Source organism: Homo sapiens, chromosome 4 (assembly GCF_000001405.40).
Source record: "Homo sapiens chromosome 4, GRCh38.p14 Primary Assembly".
Taxonomy (NCBI): Eukaryota; Metazoa; Chordata; class Mammalia; order Primates; family Hominidae; genus Homo; species Homo sapiens.
Genome location: NC_000004.12, coordinates 108648601 through 108669196, shown reverse-complemented (window position 1 = coordinate 108669196; position 20596 = coordinate 108648601). Strand labels below are relative to the sequence as shown.

Below are 20596 nucleotides of genomic sequence, written 5' to 3'. Positions count from 1 at the left end.
TTTATGTTAATAATGCTTGGCACGCTTTCCCTCAGACTGTGACATTTTGGTTTCATGTTCCCAAAACATTTTAAACCTAGTACAATGAGTTTGTTTCTTCCCATAATCATTGTGCTTTTACCAGCAAAACATTTTACACATTGATTTAAAAGTTTGTATTATTGATATTCTAAAATATAATTATTTTAAATATATTTCACTTTATTTGGTAAAGATACGTGTATTATTCCCCCCAAAAGCCTTAAGAGCTTTGAAACAGAAAAAAAACAACAAACCTTAACAGCACCATCTTATGGTACTTAACTAGGAACTGTTCACTGCTCAATCAATATGACAAAAAGCAGACTTTTGAAGCCATAATCACCCATGAGTTACTTCCTGTCCACCTAGTTTGAACGAGGTTTTAAAATACAGCAAATGACCAAAAAAAAAAAAAAAAAAAAACCAAAAAACAAAAAACAAACCAAAAAGTTCTTACTATTGAATCAAGTCTTTTAAGTTGATAAGTGCATATAGGTCCTGTTTTCCTTTCTCAAGGCTTTGGAAATACTGCAACCCTTTTTCTCCATCTCTCCCATTATTCTCTATAATACAGACCTTCACTTGCCTTGCTTTTTTTCCCCTTTGTTGAATTTACTAGTATCTGACAGTTTAAAACATTTTAAGTCTGCTGATTCCCCACAAGAATGTAAGCTCTATAAGGGCACAGCCTTTATTCATTTTACTCACCATGACATTCTCAGTGCTGCCTAGCATGAAAAAGGTACTCAGAATTTTTGAATAAATAAGTCCTTTTTTACTTAAAGAATGGTTATAATTAAATCAGCCTTGGAATAAGCAGGAAAAAAGCTCACTTGAGAGAAAATTTCACTATAAACTTGAAGATCTTAGGAAAGAATGAATTGAGCCATCAGAGAAGTGAAGCCCATGGCCAGCCAGGGAGAACCAAAAGGCCTGGATAGAAGAAATTAAGACCAGATTGGTCCAGAGATGTTTTTGTTTGTTCGTATTTTTAGTAGAGACAGGGTTTCACCGTGTTGGCCAGGATGGTCTCGATCTCCTGACCTCATGATCCGCCCGCCTCGGCCTCCCAAAGTGCTGGGATTACAGGTGTGAGCCACCACGCCCGGCCCCAGAGATGTTTCTACATGTGCTCATCTAGCACATTCACATTGACAACTCTGACATAGATATGCAGCCTGTGCTTGAATATTTACAAGGATATAAAGATGCTAACTCTCAAGGCATCCTGCCAACCATATTTTGAAATCTTAGGCTACCAAAAGTAGCTAAAGAAAGTCATAAGATGGGTGGGAATGAATGATTAATAGACCAAAAACTTAACACTGTCAGTTAAAAAACAAATATAAAAGGTATTAATTAGAAAAAGTATTTATTTCTGCTCCGTTCATACATCTTATTGTTCAGGAAACAGTTTTACATACATATCTGAAATAATCTACCATCACACACTCTAGTTAAAGGCAAAGCACCATAGGTAAAGCTGATCAACTGTCCAGAGTTCTCAGCTTACGGAATCTTGCTTCTGGATTTTATGTTAATTTCTGAAAATCAGAAATGTCATCTCCAAAAAATGTTAAGAGGGTTGTAAAAAATAATCACTTTATTTGATATTATAGTTGTAGATATGGAATATATTTTAATGAAAAACTAAAAAGAAAATGCCACTCAACATCATTGGTATAGCAATAGGCCAGCAGGAAAAAAAATTCTGTGATAAACTTGTCTCTTTAATACCAAGAAGAAATTCTAGTCCAAGCTTCAATACGCTTCCTGTTTTTTCACTAGATATTTCTTTTACTGCTGCTCTTCATTCTTTTCCACATTTCATATTAGAGGATTGGTACAGCCTTTAAAACTTCATTGACAGGAGCAAATCCAGTATCCACTGATTTCTTCTCAAAGGCACTCTAACCCATCAGATAGCCCCTGCAGAAATATAATTATAAGCACAAAAAGTGAAAAGAATTGTTTTTATATTCTCTTATTATCATAGTATTTCAAAATGCCAAAACAAATTTTATGATATATCAAATAACAATCCAAAAATATAATTGCGTGATTCTTTATTATGGTCCTTATTTCATATTTTGCCCCCCTCACCCCAATATACAAATAAATTACTGAGCCTCAGTTCTACTATCCTTCCCTCTTTTTCCTTTTTTTTTTTGAGATGGAGTTTTGCTCTTGTCACCCAGGCTGGAGTGCAATGGTGTGATCTCAGCTCACTGCAACCTCCGCCTCCCGGGTTCAAGTGGTTCTCCTGCCTCAGCCTCCCAAGTAGCTGGGATTACAGGCGCGTGCCACCACACCTGGCTAACTTTTGTATTTTTATAGAGACAGGTTTTCACCATGTTGGCCAGGTTGGTCTGGAACTCCTGACTTCAGGTGATCCGCCTGCCTTGGCCTTCCAAAGTGCTGGGATTACACGCGTGAAGCCCGGCAAAGTTTTTTTTTTTTTTTTGAGATGGAGTTTTGCTCTTGTTGCCCAGGCTGGAGTGCAATGGTGCAATCTCGGCTCACTGCAACCTCTGCCTCCTGGGTTCAAGCGATTCTCCTGCCTCAGCCTCCCAAGTAGCTGGGATTACAGGTGACCGCCACCACGCCCAGCTAACTTTTTCTATTTTTAGTAGAGACGGGGTTTCACCATCTTGGCCAGGCTGGTCTCAAATGCCCGACCTCAGTTAATCCATCCACCTCGGCCTCCCAAAGTGCTGGGATTACAGGTGTGAGCCACCGCGCCTGGCCCTTCCCTCTTAAAGTTACAAAGCAGTATGCCAAACAACACAGAATAAGAAAAGGAAGTAAAGAAAAGAAAATGATATCTAAAAGTTAAAGTTAAGAGTCAGAATCAATCTATTTTAGGCTCTCAGAAGTGCAACAAAATCAAAATTTTTTTTATGTAAAGAAACTGGTTTGGATTTCTAAAAACTCTAATATTACCAGAAGAGAAGTGGGAGAATCAGAAGCTATTCAGGACTGGGAGGTGAGCCTCTGAGACTTCAAAAAAGTGTGCACAAACATCTGCCCCTGAACCTCTAATACTTCAGGAAATGTCTGGATAACAGTTAGGAGCTTTAGCTGTACCTGCTGGTAAGGTCAAACTTCATGCTGGTCAAACAGGAGATCCTTTTATTAAATGTGCAAGTTAGGCCCTGAAATCCCCTTTAAATTAAAGCATTAAATCTGGTGTTATAAAAGTTCCAAACCTTTCCTTTGGCAATAAACCCTTAAAGTCTATTATTAATTAAGAATCTACAGGATCAGGAAAAAAAAATGGAAAAATTATGTACAAGTATCCACATTAAGAAAGGGTTGGGCTGGGCATGGTAGCTCATGCCTATAATCCCAGCACTTTGGGAAGCCGAGGTAGGTGGAGCACCAGGTCAGGAGTTCGAGACCAGCCTAGCCAACATGGTGAAAACCCACCTCTACTAAAACTACAAAAATTAGCTGGGCGTGGTGACAGACGCCTGTAATCTCAGCTACTTAGGAGGCTGAGGCAGGAGAATTGCTTGAACCCAGGAGGTGGAGGTTGCAGTGAGCCAAGATTGTGCCATTGCACTCCAGCCTGGGCAAACAGAGTGAAACTCCATCTCAAAAAAAAAAAAAAGAAAAAACAAAACAAAACAAAACAAAACACAAAACATCCTGGCTAACATGGTGAAACCCCGTGCTCCAGCCTGGGCAACAGTGCAAGAATCCGTCTCAAAAAAAAAAAAAAAAAAAAGGTTTACAACACCTTATACTCACTGACGGCTTCAGAACGCCTCTTCTTTTGACCCTGCTTCTACCACTTACTGCATGAGCCTGGCAAACCTCACTCAGTTTCCTCATCTGTAAAATGGAGTTACCTCAAAGGGTTTTAAGGATTATAAGAGAATCTACTCATATAGTAATTGCTACTCGTAGTTACATGCACTTCACAAATGTTAGCTGCTATTTTTAGAGTCCCAAGTTTCTTCACTGGTAACGTAAGATTTAAAAACTACTTGACAATACTGAGGTCTCCTCCAGTGCTTGGCACACAGCAAACACTCAAAAATGTGACTTCCCTCCCTTTCAGCTTCTGAACTCACTTGACTCCCTGTATGATTAGACTTATGTTCAGCCAATGCAATCAACCTAGAACTCACACACTCTTCTTTCTGCTGTATCAGCCTGGCCAATCCACACACTCTGAGTAAAGAGAACTTTCATCTAACACAACCACCTTGACAACCAGATACTTCTCACCTCCTCCCAAATCCAAAACTGAACAAAAATTTAAAAATAAAAAGGTTTGGCTGGGCACAGTGGCTCACGCCTGTAATCCCAGCACTTTGGGAGGCTGAGGCAGGCGGATCACGAGGTCAAGAGATTGAAACCATCCTGGCCAACACAGTGAAACCCCGTCTCTACTAAAAATACAAAAATTACCTGGGTGTGGTAGTGCATGCCTGTAGTCCCAGCTACTCAGGACGCCGAGGCAGGAGAATCACTTGAACCTGGGAGGCGGAGATTGCAGTGAACCGAGATCATGCCACCGCACTCCAGCCTGGCAACAGAGCCAGACTCCGTCCCCCACAAAAAAAAAAAAATTAAAAATTAAAAGGTTCTTTGGATATATACATTGAATTTAAAGACCTCACATAAATTTGCTACTATAATGCCTGATGTGTCACAAAAAGGATACTTTAAAACATAAGCTTCACAAGAAAAAAAAAAAAGGTTCAAGAAGATTTTAAGCAAGCATCCACTAATATCTGCACTCTGTAGTAGAAGTTACCCAACAGCTAGCTTACACTATGAAACAAGAGTACTAAAGACTCATTAGGAGTAACTTCTTGTAATTTGCATATACCTATATGTGAATATACACTTTGTACTCTATCTCTTAATATAGCTATATATTATGGTATCCTTCCTTGTAACTAGTGGGTGACCCATGCTTGTCAACCTATATTTAGATAGAAAAGAATATTTAAATAGACATGTCCTGTTCAAAGCTGCCAAACTTAAAATAGTTTTACCTTAAGGACAATTTGGGAGATACTAAGAAATATTATAATGTTATAACGATACCATGTTAGAAAAAAGAAAAGAAGAACAAATACATTACTATACTTCTTGATAAGAAATAAAAATAAAATTGTTGAAATACACTTACTATAATATATACTCAATCATTTAGCCCCCTCTCTTGACCCAGAAAATTTCATAATCTTATATTCAGGCCTGTGAGAATTTTACATAAGTAAAACCGTAGATAAATACAATAAAAAGTAAATCAAGAACTCAAAAACCAACTAGAGACAGGAGAAGCCACCATGAAGGACCTTCTATTTAATCTTTAAGGCCATTCTTTCAATAATCACTCAGTGCCTCTGTATATTAAGGCAAGCTCTGTGCTAGGTTAGCACTAATAGAAGCTTCTCAAAACACTACCACATTCATTATTGCATTTAACCCTTGCAACAATCTTAAAAAGGTGTGTGAAACAAGGATTAGTCTCATTTTACAGATGAAGAGTGTGACAGCAATTAAGTCGTTTGCTCAAAAATCACAAGGCCAGAAAAGAACAAAACCAGCATTAAAACACAAGTCTCCTCACTCCTGGTCTACTACCCACTCCAATGGTCCTAGAAATGGAAACCTCACTTTCTTCTTTTAGAAACAGTAATGGTTTATTCAGGCTGGGCACCTTGGCTCACGCCTGTAATCCTAGCACTTTGGGAGGCCGTGGCAGGCGGATCACGAGGTTAGGAGATCACTGGCTAACACGGTGAAACCCCATCTCTACTAAAAATACAAAAAATGAGCTGGGCATGGTGGTGGGCGCCTGTAGTCCCAGCTACTAGGGAGGCTGAGGCAGGAGAATGGTATGTACCTGGGAGGCAGAGTTTGTAGTGAGCCGAGATCACGCCACTGCACTCCAGCCTGGGCAACAGAGCGAGACTCCGTCTCAATACGAAACAAAACAAAAACAGTAATGGTTTATTCATTTATTTTTGAAACTGTGGCCATAATCTAACTTGAAACAGAACTTTTAGGACTCTATCTTTAGAATGAAAACACTGACATTGATTAACACTTACATTATGATTGAGAGCACACCTTCTCATTTAATGTTGACAACTGTAACTCCCCAAGGTACATTAATACTTCATTTAACAGGTTTGGAACCTGAGGCCAAGAGAGTTCACAGAACTAATCCAAAGTCTCAGAGCTATTAAGTGGCAGGCCAAAACTGGACTCCAAATTCCTCACCCTCTCTACTACACATTGTCCTCAGCAGCTGTACAAATGTTTTGTTTCTTTAGAATGAATTACGTCCCTTATTTGCTAAAAATGAACCTCGGATATCAGCTTTTTAGTCGCTGAAACAATCCAGCTGCTAGTTTCTCTACAGCCTTAACTCTCTAAAATATAGCTCCAAATCTGGAAGGAAATGAAAGAGATTCTCAAACATCTGAAAGTATGGTTACAAAGCCAAGCCATTAAGCTCTCCTTCAGCCAGAACTGATTTAAAAGGTAATTAATAGCTAGGTTATCTATTCCCTCAAGTCATAGAATAACCAGCAAACTGAAAAGAAGAAGAGGGAAAGGATGAAATTACAATAGGTATATACTGATCACCATGACAAGTGACAAGCCAGTGAAATCAACAAAACTGAAAAGTAGTACTATGCATAACAGAAATGTAAAATGACCTCAGTGGAGAAGGTTAAATTATGTTTAATCTCAGTGTCCAGCAAGTAACAGTTATCAAATAAATATTTGCTACATACAAATATGAGTGTTAACGTGTAATACAACACAACAAACGCTTTAGAAAGAGGGTCTGTCGAAAATGAATACAATGTTTTAGTATTTATGTATTTTCAATTACATGGAATCACATATATGCAGCATATCATTCCCTAAATGATGTTAGTTTAAATATTATTACATTCATATTTTTTATTCCTTTCTCCCTTTAAGAGAACTTGTTTTCTGAACTGATCCCATGATCTCAGGATTTATCCAGAAGATCCTTAGCTTTTCTTCTCAAGCTTAATAAACACTAGGTGAAATTGCTAAAAAGCCATTTTTGCCAGCTGAAATAAGGCAGACCTTTTGTCCTCAATTATCTGATAGTATCTATTTCAAGTAGTTTTATACAGCTTTATAACAGACTTGCCTGAATGTAGGAACCCATCCCTCCATCTCCAATTGAACACCTCACCTGACTTTAGGGCATTACCACGCCACCACAGGCCACCTTTTATTTTTATTTTTTTTAAGATTCTGCTTTTGGCCAGGCATGGTGGCTCACGCCTGTAATCCCAGCACTTTGGGAGGCTGAGGCAGGCAGATCACTTGAGGTCAGGAGTTCGAGACCAGCCTCTGCCAAAATGGCAAAACCTCATCTCTACTAAAAATACAAAAATTAGCCTGGCATGGTGGCACATGCCTGTAATCCCAGCTACTCGGGAGGCTGAGGCAGGAGAATGGCTTGAACCTGGGAGGCGGAGGTAGCAGTGAGCCGAGACCGCGCCATTGCACTCTAGCCTGGGTGATAAAGCAAGACTGTCTCAAAAAAGGAAAAAAGAAAAGAAAAGAAAAAGATTCTGCTTTTAAGTTAAAGCTGCCCTAAGAGTGGAGGCTAAAGACAATCTAATGAAGATTCATTATTTTTTCAGAAGAATCAAGTTCAAACGTGTACCAGTCTTCTACTCAGTAACCGAACATTATTTCCTTTGAGTCTATGTATATTTAAAATGCAGTGAACATACAGACGCATACATACATGATTTCACATACATTATCTCATAAATTATATTAGAATATTTTCATTTTCACAATGAAAATTACTCCTTTGAGACTGTACTAATAAAAATATTAGGGACTACGTTTAATTTTTTCCTTTTAAATGTACTGCTATGTGTGCAAAGCTAATAAACAATCATTCTTTATTCTTTTTTTTTTTTTTTTTTGAGATGGAGTCCCACTCTGTCACCAAGCCTGGAATGCAGTGGCACAATTTCGACTCACTGCAACCTCTGCCTCCTGGGTTCATGCAATTCTCGTGCCTCAGCCTCCCAAATAGCTGGGATTACAGGCGTGCACTACCACGCCCAGCTAATTTTTTTATTTTTTAGTAGAGACTGGTTTTCACCACGTTGACCAGGCTGGTCTTGAACTCCTGACCTCAAGTGATCTGCACACCTCGGCCTCCCAAAATGCTGGGATTACAGGCCTGAGCCACTGTGCCCAGCCAACAGTCATTCATTTTCGACGTTTCTTCAAAACTCAAGACATCAAATAAAACATGTTTTAATTAGTAAAATTATATCAATAGGGGAAACATCAGGTCTTTCAAAAAAGCATAAATCAGAAAACAGAACCAGTAATACTGTTTCAGTGCTACTGTTTTCTCCTTTTCAAAGGCATCTCTTGCTAAAGGTAACATCTTTGTAAAAAAGAATTCCACCCTGGAGGTTATCATGGTGCATCTTATGATACAGCCATCCTTTATCTCAGATGCTAGAAACATAGTTGATTTGGAAAAACCAGTGGCTATTGGTGTTTTTTTGACATCTTTTTTATTGTTGTGGTTAGTCCACTCACTATAATCAAACTGTTAGGTCATCATAGATAATTTGCATGAAAGAAGAAAGATACACCCTTTCCTTGCTGGGATAGTAACTACAACCCTGTTGTGTGTAATACAGGCCAACAGTCCTTGCTCATCATCTCCTCTGGGGCCTGCAAATATTCCAGGAAAGATAGTATCATTACTTCCATTTCTTATATAAAACTGTCCATTGTCTCTCCTCACTCCATACCCAAGGTACCAGGCATTAGGAGCTGCAGATGAGAAATGATATCAGAAAGGGAACCATAAATTCATCTTAAAAACTCAAATCCTAGATTTACAAGATACAGAAAATAGCAATTTTCTGTTTGGACCACTGTCCTGTTTTGATTAGATCTAAACATAATCTACAACCGAAACCCAGAAAGTATACCCTTTTTCCCTAGCCTAAAGTTTGGATTTAGTCAACGGTGTTACATACTAGCCTATAGAATGTGGACAGGAAGACAAATGTTCACATAAATGATTGCAAAAGTAAGATGAAGGTAATCCAGAGTATTAAACACTTGTCAAAGCTTTTCTGTCAGTAGCAGATAGCTCTATTATCCTGAAAGTCAAATGCCAAAGCTAAAAGATAACACCTATTTTCTTAATAGACTCATTCCTAGGAAGAGGACGTAAAACTATAAAGAAGGAAAACACTATGTAGAATGAAAACAGTAGGTAGAATGAGAACATATTTGATTCTATAAGCAAAACCAGGACACTTTCTCTGTTCTGACACATGCCTCCAAAGGTTTCTTTTGTTTTGGTTGTAAATTTTCTTTTCTTTTCTTTTCTTTTTTTTGAGATGGAGTCTTACTCTGTCGCCCAGGCTGGAGTGCAGTGGCACGATCTTGGCTCACTGCAAGCTCTGCCTCCTGGGTTCACGCCATTCTCCTGCCTCAGCCTCCCGAGTAGCTGGGACTACAGGCACCCGACACCATGCCTGGCTCATTTTTTGTATTTTTAGTAAGAGATGGGGTTTCACCATGTTAGCCAGGATGGTTTTGATCTCCTGACCTTGTGATCCGCCCGCTTCAGCCTCCCAAAGTGCTGGGATTACAGGCATGAGCCTTTCAGTAACCTCTTTATTCTATCTGGGAGTCTCCTCTTTTCTTGCTCTGCTAATGAAAACTTCAGTCTTTTCTATACAAGTACACCTTACCAGGCTATGGTGACTTACTTCCACTAGGAGCAGAAAAACAAGGAACAATAAGAGGCTGGAGTACCTTAGTCTTCACACAACTTAGCCAATGGCCAGAAATGCCTTCCCCAAATGAAAATAAGAGCTGCTGGCCGGGCACAGTGGCTCACACCTATAATCCCAGCACTTTGGGAGGCTGAGGCGGGTCGATCATGAAGTCAAGCGTTCCAGAACAGCCTGGCCAACATAGTGAAAACTTGTCTCTACTAAAAATACAAAAAAAATTAGCTGGGTGTGGTGGCGGGCGCCTGTAATCCCAGCTACTTGGGAGGCTGAGGCAGGAAAATCTCTTGAACCTGGGAGGCGGAGGTTGCAGTGAGCCGAGATTGCACCACTGCACTCCAGCCTGGGCAATAATGTGAGACTCCATCTCAAAAAAAAAAAAAAAAAAAAAAAAAGAGCTGCTGCCAGAGGAAACTGAGCAGCTATATGGCCACACAGATATTCAGCTGACAAAGAACTCCATGCTTTCCCTCCCATCCTGCCAGGACTAAAATGGGAACATGATGATTGTGGGATCATCATGTACTTTTGCCCATTCTACCCCAGGTGTGTTACAGACAATGGACAGGTTAAGTCACAGAACAAGTGAATTTGTAAAATTCAAACACACTAAGAAATCAGTATAGTTGACACTTGATGTTTAACACAGTCCCTAAAAAATAAAATACTAAAAATAAAATACTAAGAGCTAATATTTGTGGTATGCTTGCCCAAATTTCCTGTCGTTACTGTAGTTACTAATGCATCCATGAATTAAATTAGAATATATGGAAATGTGATTGTATTTGTTCACATTTCAAGTAAATAATCTTAAACAGAATTATGAAAGATGCCATAAACGATCTTATTTTTCCTCTAAAGATATTGAAAAGTTTTCTGAATCAAAATAATCTTTAAATACACATTAAACACGCACACATACACACACACACACACACACAAATATATAAATATCCTTTTCCTATCTTTTTGAAGGGCAATAACTCTCTTTTCCCTTACAAGGCATAATGGGTTTTCTTCCTACCAATATTCAAAGAGCAGCAACAGTGAGTGATCTGAAGCTATTCCCTACCATTAATACTACTGGAATTCTGTGTTACAGATTAGCCAAAAGGCATTTTAAAGTAACAGTGACAGCTGGGCGCCGTAGCTCATGCCTATAATCCCAGCACTTTGGAAGGCCGAGGCAGGAGGATCACCTGAGGTCAGGAGTTCAAGATCAGCCTGGTCAACATTGTGAAACCCCACCTCTACTAAAAATACAAAAAATAGCTGAGTGCTGTGGTGCATGCCTGTAATCCTGGCTACTCAGAAGGCTGAGGCAGGAGCATCACTTGAGCCCGGGAGGCAGAGGTTGCAGTGAGCCAAGATTGTGCCATTGCATTTCCAGCCTGGGCAACAAGAGCGAAACTCCGTCTCAAAAAAAAAAAAAAAAAAAAAAAAAAAAAAGAAACAATGACTATCTTCAGTCATTGATGCCAGGACAAAGTAACTAAATTTTCTCTCATGAACATTCATGGGGATAACAACTAAGAAGATCTATTAGTTTCAATTTTTATTAACTATAGCTGTAACCTGACCAAGTTACAAATATATTTGGTTTCTGGATTTTTCACCCATGTAAATGAAAGTTAAATTAAATGTCCTATGACTTTACATTTTCCAGGTAATCATTTTACCAATTTGCAACATAAGGTGCTGATTACACAAATAACTTACGGCAGTTTCATTCTCATGAATACTCTAGCCATGAAAAAACTCAATAGGACACAGACGAATCCAATGAACAGAAGAAGGAATCTATTGAGTTTTGGGATATTTGGTGCATTCGATCGGTCCAGGATTATGAAACCTAAACCTCCCATTGTAAATAGGAAGCTGGATGCAAGTCCTTCCATAATATATTGTCCATTTACTCTGGAAAAGAAAAGAATGACCATAGAAAGATAACAAATAGAAATGTTTCCCTTAAATTGAAATTCCTATTTCCGTTTTTGTGCCAAAACATTTTTGTGCTATATTTCTTATTCTTAGCCTTACAACTATTTTACTATACCTCTGGATATTCATCTGTCCATTCAACAGATATTTATTGAGTCTATTAGGTAGCAAGCACTGTTTTAGGTTCTGGGGGATATACAACAATGAATAAAACAGACAAAAATCTTTGTCTTCATGGAGTTCACATTCAAAAAATGTCGTAAAACCTCAACTAACACAACTGTTTATGTAAAATAAATACTCATATTTTATGTATACGAACGCTTTACCCAGAACTTTAGCTTAGCTTTTTTTTTTTTTTGAGATTGAGTCTTGCTGTCGCCCAGGCTGGAGTGCTGTGGCACGATCTCGGCTCACTGCAACCTCCACCTCCCAGATCGCTGGGACTACAGGCGCGTGCCACCACGCCTGGCTAATTTTTTGTATTTTTAGGGGAGACAGGGTTTCACCGGGTTAGCCAGGATAGTCCCAATCTCCTGACCTCGTGATCCGCCCATCTCGGCCTCCCAAAGTGCTGGGATTACAGGCGTGAGCCACTGCGCCCGGTCTAGGTTAGCTTTTTTTAAAAAGTTATGCTATTTAAATTTCTACTATCAATTCAAACTAATTTTGAATTGGTTAGATGTGTTTCTTGAAGTTTTATGTTAATAATAATAAACTTCTTGTTTCAAATGGAAATATTTTAAAAAGAAACTGTTCTTAAATAAGGCTCCATGGGTCCCATAAGAACTTCAGTGAACTACAAACCCCTCTAATTATATGTAAAAGTGTGTGTGTGTGTGATTTTTCTAGGGATACAGAGCTTTTATCAAATTCTCATAGTTCAAGGACCTCAAGAAGAAAATTTCTCGTTAAAGGGATGATTATACATAGGCATATGTAAACAGGGTATTTTTTTTTTTTTTTGGTCAATTGTTTTCATTGAAAACACAATATATGTACCAAGTTCAAAATTCAAACAGTGTGAAAGAGGGCACTATGAAGAGCCACCCTACCATCAACCTGTCATTAACTCCCCTCCACAGAGAATACTAATAAATCTTTCCAGAAATATTCTATGCATAAATAGCATTACTGCAAATATAAACATATAGCTATGTTTTGGTAGATATTAAGTAAATTTTAGAAAGCAATATAAGCATTGTTCAGGTGAACAAAACCACACTGGAACGGGGTTTCACTGATGAAACAGAACCCTCAAAGTCTCAAAAATACTTTTGTTATTTAATGGTATAGACCAGGGTATAGTCCAAAAATATTTTCTTAAATACCCATATAGTAAATATCTTAGGCTTGTGGGGTATATGGTTTGTGTCATACTTATTCAGCTCAGCCACTCTAGCTTAAAAGCAGCCATAGATCATATAAAACACATGGGCATACTTACTTCCAATAAAACTTTTTTGGGGAAAAGAAAAAAAAAGCAGCTATAGTTCACTGACCCCCAGAACAATCTATAAATGTAGTTTAAACTGACACCCTACTGTAAATTGGTGATACATCATTATGAAATACTTTATTTCTTAATAAATAAATAATATACTCTTGTTTTTGACTCACTTTCTGCCATTTCAGAATCCAGCATTTTAAAACAGCTGTTGTCTAAATACACATGGATCCCATAGGTTTTACTCTATTTTTAAATAAGTGGGCATACCACAGCAACCTTCTTTCCCACCACCAAATCATTCAAAAAGGTATCTTTTACCTGTAGGCCAAGAAAGCTACTGGCCTCTGATGCCCATGTTCATCAGTCATAGAACCGACACTTGGAGGTTCAACAATAACATCATAAATTATTCCTATAAGAAAGACAACAGAACAGATTAGATTGTATTACTAATTTTTGAAAACAGGATTATAGTTTTCATTGTCTCTTAAGGTTCATTTACTTTTTTTGAGACAGAGTCTCACTCTGTCGCCCAGGTTGAGAGTGCAGTGGCGCCACTTGGCTTACTGCCAAACTCCGCCACCCAAGTTGAAGCAATTCTCCTGCCTCAGCCTCCCAAGTAGCTGGGACTACAGGCGCCCACCACCATGCCCAGCTAATTTTTGTATTTTTAGTAGAGACGGGATTTCACCATATTGGTCAGGCTGGTCTCGAACTCCTGACCTCAGGTGATCCACCTGCCTCAGTCTCCCAAAGTGCTGGGATTACAGGTGTGAGCCACTGCACCCGGCCAAGTTTCATTTACTTTTAAATAGGAATGCTTTGATTGTATTATTATAACCAAATGTGGCCCAACTCATCTAAAGTTCTGATAAATCATTCAGACATTCAACTCAATGTTTTAGAATTACTTTGAAAACTGTATGATATCTAAATGAAGTACAAATTTCATAAAGGAAATTCATCCAATAAGAGTTGCTAATACTCAGGAATGACTTTAGTATAAAGGGGATTTAAAACTAAAGGCTCTACTTCGGTTCACAAAAATTGTCTCAGATATGCTTAGATTTGTTTCTATAAATTGAAAAATAACTAGAGAAATTGCTTAAATGTAAAACAAGGAGACATTTTAAAACCACGCCATCAGGCAGAATGGCAATACTAGAGATTCATAATCATTAACATTAATGTCCACCATTATGTCATAATGTCATCGTGATCATTAACATTAATGTTCATCAGCACTAATAGTTTTCTCAATCTCCCACTGTCAACATCTACTCTACCTTCTCCACTGTTCTCAAACATCTTCATCTCCAGCTTTTCTTAAGCATAACAAGCCTATCTCCCTTATCCTAGCCTGACAAAACAATCCTATAGGAATTCCCTTGTCTTTTCCCCACCAAATCTACAAATACCTGGTACCTGCATCCATCCTCACCTCCTTCTTTCCAGCTACAAAGAGGAAGATTCCCACCTCCTATAATGTGGGATCCCTTTTGCAATTACCAGGAGTCCATTCCCACTTGGACTCTCAGGGACTTTATTCCTTTGGATATCTCTCCTCTCTCCTGTATTTTCAAGCTCTCCTTCCCTACATCAACCCTCCTTGACTTCAGATCCTCTTAGCTAACATCCTATTTCTATCTTTGCTTTCTGAAAGGGAGTCAGACTTTCTTCTGGAAGACTTAGGCAAACTTGCCATCTCCCCTTTCTTACTTACCCTTCATTCTTCAACTCAATCCAATCTGGCTTCTGCAACCATTGATACTGCTCTTTCTAAGGTCACCAATGATCTCCATGTTGTCAAATTCAATAGACACTTTTCAGTTCTCATCTTAGGGGACTTCTCAGAAGCACTCAATCCAGTTTACTAAACCAATTTCTTGAAAAACACCTCTTCTTATGGCTTTTGTGATACTCCTCTTCATGTTTTCTTGCTACCTCTCTATTGGGCCTCTTCTTTTATAAAAGAACTAAATGTTGGAGGCCCTCAGGGATTGGTCCACTGTCCTCTTCTACTTTTCTCCAAAATGAACTCCCAGGGCTTTCAATTTCATGTGCTAAAGACTCTCAATGTGATGTGCCAAGGCCTCTCAAATAATGCCAGTACCATTAGAATTACATGTAAGCTCCTCAAGAACAGAGACTTTGGACTTTGCCTATACTCTTCAATGTCTCATGGGAGTTCCAGAAATGTCTGTTAGTTGACCAACTTCAACACAGGCCTCTTTTCTCAGGTCTAGACTCCCATCTGCACATGTGACATATCCAACTAATTTTACCCCAAAACAACCTCTGGTGCACCATTTTCCACCAAAAACTTTGTTTTCTCAATCTCAGGAAATGATACTTCCATCTATTCAGGAGCTCAAACCAGAAACCTGTAAGATTCCTTCCCACTTCATTCTTCCCCTACACCCAGTGAATTCAAGACCTACTGAATCTACTTCCAACATATCTTTCATTATATTATCCTAATCTCCACTACCATAAACCTTGTATAGTCTAAGTCAACTACAAAGGCCACCTAATTGGTCTTTTGGTCTCACATTTGCCCTACGTTTCCCTCTGCCTAGCATATCCTTTCCCCGAACTCTTCAGATTTTGGCTTACATATCATTTCCTCAGGAATCATATCGAATCCAATCCAGATGATGCTTCCAACTCCCTTTAGTTTCTCAAAAACCTCTTGTTCTTTTCTTTCACTGTATTTATAACCATTGTTTGTTTGTTTTTATTTTTTGAGAGAGGGTCGGGTCTTGCTCTGTCACCCTGGCTGGAGTGCAGTGGTGCCATCACAGCTTACTGCAGCCTCAGCTTCCCAGGCTCAGGCGATCCTCCCACTTCAAACTCCTGCACCATAGTCCCAGCTACTTGGGACTACAGGCGTGCGCCACCAGGCTCAGCTAATTTTGGGGTTTGTTTTTTGTTTCTGAAACAGGGCCTTGCTCTGTTGCCCAGGCTGGAGTGCAGTGGCACCATCTCGGCTCACTGCAACCTTCACCTCCCGGGTACAAGCAATTCTCCTGCCTCAGCCTCACAAGTAGCTGGGACTACAGGCGTGTACCACCACGCCTGGTTAATTTTTTGTATTTTCAGTAGAGACAGGGTTTCGCCATGTTGCCCAGGCTGGCCTCGAACTCCTGGGCTCAAATGATCCAACTGGCTCAGGCTCCCAAAGTGTTGGATTACAGGCGTGAGCCACTGCGCCTGGCCTGTTTTTGTGAACATTTTTAACGGACAAAAAAATTAAGTGACATTTAATATGTCTCATCTATGACATTATAAGCTTCAGGAGGTCAGGGTCCTTATGTTTTGTTCTATTATCTCCAGTACCTAGTGCCTGAAACTTAACGGGACTCAGTATCTATTTGCTGACTATTTGTCAGCAACAAATAGTTTATTTATAAAGGTGCACTCAGTTTTTAGAAGAGACTTCTTCCCTTCCAGTGGCAAAACCAATTCATCATACAAGATACCTCATAGACCTGGCCACTAAAAAGCAACCTTTCCACTTTCCCCCAATGGTTGGGACAAAGAATCTCCCCATTACAATAATCAACAGGAGAAAAAAGAGGGCCACAAAGAAAACTGAGGCTTCTCGCAAAGAATCCGACTCCAAGGGAAGTAAGGGTTACAGGAAAGAAACTAGCATTATTCATTATTATTATTGAATAATGACTTTTTTTTTGTCCAACGACCTTCGTGAACTGTGCAAAAATATGGAACGCTTCACGAATTTGCGAGTCATTCTTGCACAGGGGCCATGGTAATCTTCTCCCTATCATTCCAATTTTAGTATATGTGCTGCCGAAGCGAGCACTCAATAATAATACTGAATTATTCTATATTATTTATTTTTAAAAGTCTATTATTTTTAAAAGCCACATGCATTTTAAATTTTGTTTATTCAGTACAGTAGCTATTAACTTGATGAGCAAATGTTAATGGTTAATGCTAATGCAATGCTAGATAGTATCTTGTTACCAAATAAGTATTTAAATGTAACTCAAATATTTAAATGTAATTTATTTAAATGAACGTAAGTTAATTCTCACTATTCTAGATTGGGGGAAGGAGGTAAATTCAAAGGTGCTTTCTAGAACTCAGCTCTCTCAGTTTGAATCCTCCCCCTTCAGTGCCAACTATTCTCACAAAACATCTATGAAAATAACAATTATATGGCCACTCCCTTAAAAGTAGAACTACTTTTGCTATCCCAAATCCGTAGCTTTAATTTTATAATTTCCAGGTTAAGTACACCACTTCCCAAAATCTAAATTAATTTTATAATTTCCAAGTTAAGTACACCACTTCCCCAAATCTAAATGTACACAGTAGCACAGTTCTAAGTAAATCTTGGAACTGTGGCCTGAAAGGGTAGTGGCTCTGAAAAGACTAGCCGGATTGCCAACTCACCAGTACATAAGGCAACGCCCCTTTGCAATTTTCTATTTGAAAAGGACAGAATAAGATGATAGACAATTCAGAAGCGTTTAATAGTAATGCTATTTATCTTATTTTTTTAATTCTCAACTTCTGCCCACTGAAATACAGTATCGTCTGCAAATCTCATCTCCAATCTCAAATATTTATCAAACCTGTGATTTCAGAAAATTCCATTGATATTTATTGTAGGTCATGCAAAAGGCAACACAGAACCCTAGGTTTGAGCCAACAAAACTAAAGATTGTCAAGTCTCTTCCAAGATTCCAGGACAAAGATAAGTTTAAAAGTCCCACAAGCTCTTGACCAACCATGGAAGCGGAGTTGGCCAAATTAGACCTTCCCAGGACCTTTATCAAACAACCAACCATGGAAACGGAGTTTGCCAAATTAGGCTTTCCCAGGACATTTATCAAACAACGTATGGCAAGCAACAAAAAGAGCAACAATTTGGCCTTGAAAAATATATTTGACTCGGATCCCTGGGATGGGAGGGCTAGAAGGAGAAGAAAGGCAATGGGAGTGAGAACACGAATTCTCTTAAGACAGGGCGTGAAGGCGAATAAACTTGGACGTTAACACTTCGGACCCCAGAACTCCCCTCCACCCTCAGAAAAGATCCAAAGCAGAGCTATGCTTCCCCCGGGGCTGAGAGTCAGCGGAACAGACGCGCCTCCCGGGGCGGGTCAGTTCTCCGCTCCTCAGCCTCTCGGGCCCGACAGCCCGAGTTACCTCCGGTGATGAGGAAGTAAGACACCACCACCAGAGCATACACAGTCATGGCCGACGGCATGTGCAACCAGGGCGGCTTCTTCAGCTTCAGGTTGGGACATTCGAGCACTAAGAACGGGACACGGTACAAAGTCTCCATGTTGGTGGCAGCAAGGGCCGTTCTCGGCCTCAAGCCCCACGCGCCTCCCGGAAACAGGCCCGCCCTCCCTAACAAGTGCGCGTGCGCGAGGAAAGGACCCGCAGATCCGTAAAGCTCGGAGGTGGTTACTATACTCATAGAAGAAAATAAGAAACTAAATAAAACAAATAAATGATATGAATAAAGTGTTGTAAATTATTTAATCTAATTAAACTTACATTGTGATAATGTACTCTACATTTTTCTAATGGATATATAGGTGATTTGTGTACCTTCAAGGACCTGCGGGACTTCTAACGTGGCCAAGCCGGAGAAGCGGAGGCCAAGGAATCTAGGTGAGCCCCGCCCACTCGCTGACGCAGGGGATTTGAAAGCTGATTGGACAGGGGGCGCTCCCGGTTCCCAGAGCGGGAGATGAATGGGAACTTTTGGATATAAATGCCTTTTATATTAGAGGTTTTTTCAAGGGTTAGGAAAAGCCGGAGGCTGCTGAGCTTTTACTTCCCGATGTAGTCGTGGTAATAATAAGAATTAATAATAGTTGCTAAAGTAATATGTTACCAATTTTTTTTAAACATCCAGCCTGGATCACAAATGTCAACAGGACATCTCTACAGGGATGCCTTAATGCTGATAGCTTGGCGTGACCATAATACTATTTTGAATAACTCATCCTCTCAACTTTGCTCTTCCCTTGGTCATCTGTATGTCGCTAAAAGGTAAAATCCCTCTGGCCAAAAATCTTAAAGTCGTCTGGATTTCTCTCCTTACTAACCTTCTGCATCCAAAATATTAGTAGGTCTCTTTGGCTGTACTACCAAAATATCTCCAATTCATCTGCCCCTCACCATTCCACCACTGACACCCTAGTGTGAACCACCGCCATCTCTGGTCTGGGCAACATTTACAATCCAAATAGATGAAAATATATGATGGAGAATTAGTCATTAGGGATGGACTAGAAGGTCTAAAAGATTTTTTGTTTTCTGTTTTGCTTTTCTTTTTTATATAATCTTTTAAGACTCTACAAATGTTAACTTCCTTTTGGAGCAAGAGTTAAGAGTCACTGATTACATAAGTCCAGAGCATATTGACACATTATAGAGCCAATGTTTTTATATTTTTTTATTTGCTTGTTACTAAGCCCGTGGTTATTTTTACAGGATGCCATGTATTGGTTCTGCACTTCTAATTAGCTAACAACTCAATTGTTAAGAAATTGCTTGAAGACGGTAATGAAAATACTATCAAAACATTGTAGTATCCAATTCTAAGTACAGTTGAGGCTTGCTGCCCTTACTGTTCATTAGTGAGAGTCTCTCCCAGAGTCATATTGCCTATGTCTTAACGGAGCCACACGAATCTTAGGTTATGTAAAGGCCAATGATAACACCAATAATGAATGCATTTACACCAAAACCAGCGTTTATATGTAGGAAGTTTCTCTGGGCACTGTAAAGCAGAATGTTTCTGAAATTCCCACAGTTTTATAAGTAAGGAACACTTTGGAACAATTAAAATATTTTGCTTTGGTATGAAGAAAAAAATAAAAATAAAACATTTTGCTTTGGAAAAACATAGGGATTAAAGGTTTTTAAATTTCCTTTATAGCTTAAAAAGGAATCTAACATTAATTAACCACTGCTTGGCAGGTACTATGTTAAGTGATTTACATTTGTGCTTATATACTCTTCATGACAATTCTGTTAGGTAAATACTAGTATAACTGCTTTACATATGACAAAAGTGGCTCCTGGGAAGGGAAATAAACTCAAAAAGTGTAGTATAGTCTGTGACTGGATGAGACCTAAAAGGCAATTGCTGTAGAAGTAAATAGATTTAAGACGTTTAAAATGGTATACGTTTATATACTTATCCTTCTTCCTGTGTATACTAGGGACACATAATTTCTACCTACATTGTGGAAAACATATAAATTATTAATATATAATTTTTAAATGAAAAATTAATTTCATAAATAATAAAACTGCCAAGTCAGAACACACTGCATTCATCTATATGTTAAATTATTACTATCACTTTCCAAAAAGTAAG

General features: G+C 39.0%; 1 protein-coding gene and 1 pseudogene across 3 annotated transcripts, besides 3 other annotated features; both read right to left on the bottom strand.

Moving 5' to 3' along the window:
• Window positions 1-1376: 1376 nt before the first annotated feature.
• On the bottom strand, window positions 1377-18598 carry OSTC (oligosaccharyltransferase complex non-catalytic subunit). 3 transcript variants are annotated; one of them, NM_001267818.2, is made up of 5 exons: window positions 18403-18598; window positions 13540-13633; window positions 11550-11747; window positions 5891-5964; window positions 1377-1950 (listed from the first exon to the last, which is right to left on the bottom strand). In NM_001267818.2, the coding sequence occupies exons 1-5, from the start codon at window positions 18539-18541 to the stop codon at window positions 1940-1942; spliced, it is 516 nt and encodes a 171-aa protein (NP_001254747.1). In that variant the 5' UTR covers window positions 18542-18598; the 3' UTR covers window positions 1377-1939. The 3 variants fall into 3 exon arrangements, with proteins under 3 accessions (NP_001254747.1, NP_067050.1, NP_001254746.1); NM_021227.4 differs by lacking the exon at window positions 5891-5964; NM_001267817.2 differs by lacking the exons at window positions 5891-5964; window positions 11550-11747.
• Window positions 15688-16202: an enhancer, noted in NCBI's record as "H3K27ac-H3K4me1 hESC enhancer chr4:109574151-109574665 (GRCh37/hg19 assembly coordinates)". NCBI's record gives its function as "activates a minimal SCP1, AML or CMV promoter by ChIP-STARR-seq in primed H9 embryonic stem cells {active_cell/tissue: H9 hESC(primed)}" and the evidence as "EXISTENCE:reporter gene assay evidence [ECO:0000049][PMID:30033119]".
• RNU6-431P (RNA, U6 small nuclear 431, pseudogene) lies at window positions 16942-17047 on the bottom strand (annotated as a pseudogene).
• Window positions 17645-17694: an enhancer, noted in NCBI's record as "active region_21800". NCBI's record gives its function as "activates an Ori minimal core promoter by ATAC-STARR-seq in GM12878 lymphoblastoid cells {active_cell/tissue: GM12878}" and the evidence as "EXISTENCE:reporter gene assay evidence [ECO:0000049][PMID:35858748]".
• Window positions 18309-18658: an enhancer, noted in NCBI's record as "active region_21799". NCBI's record gives its function as "activates an Ori minimal core promoter by ATAC-STARR-seq in GM12878 lymphoblastoid cells {active_cell/tissue: GM12878}" and the evidence as "EXISTENCE:reporter gene assay evidence [ECO:0000049][PMID:35858748]".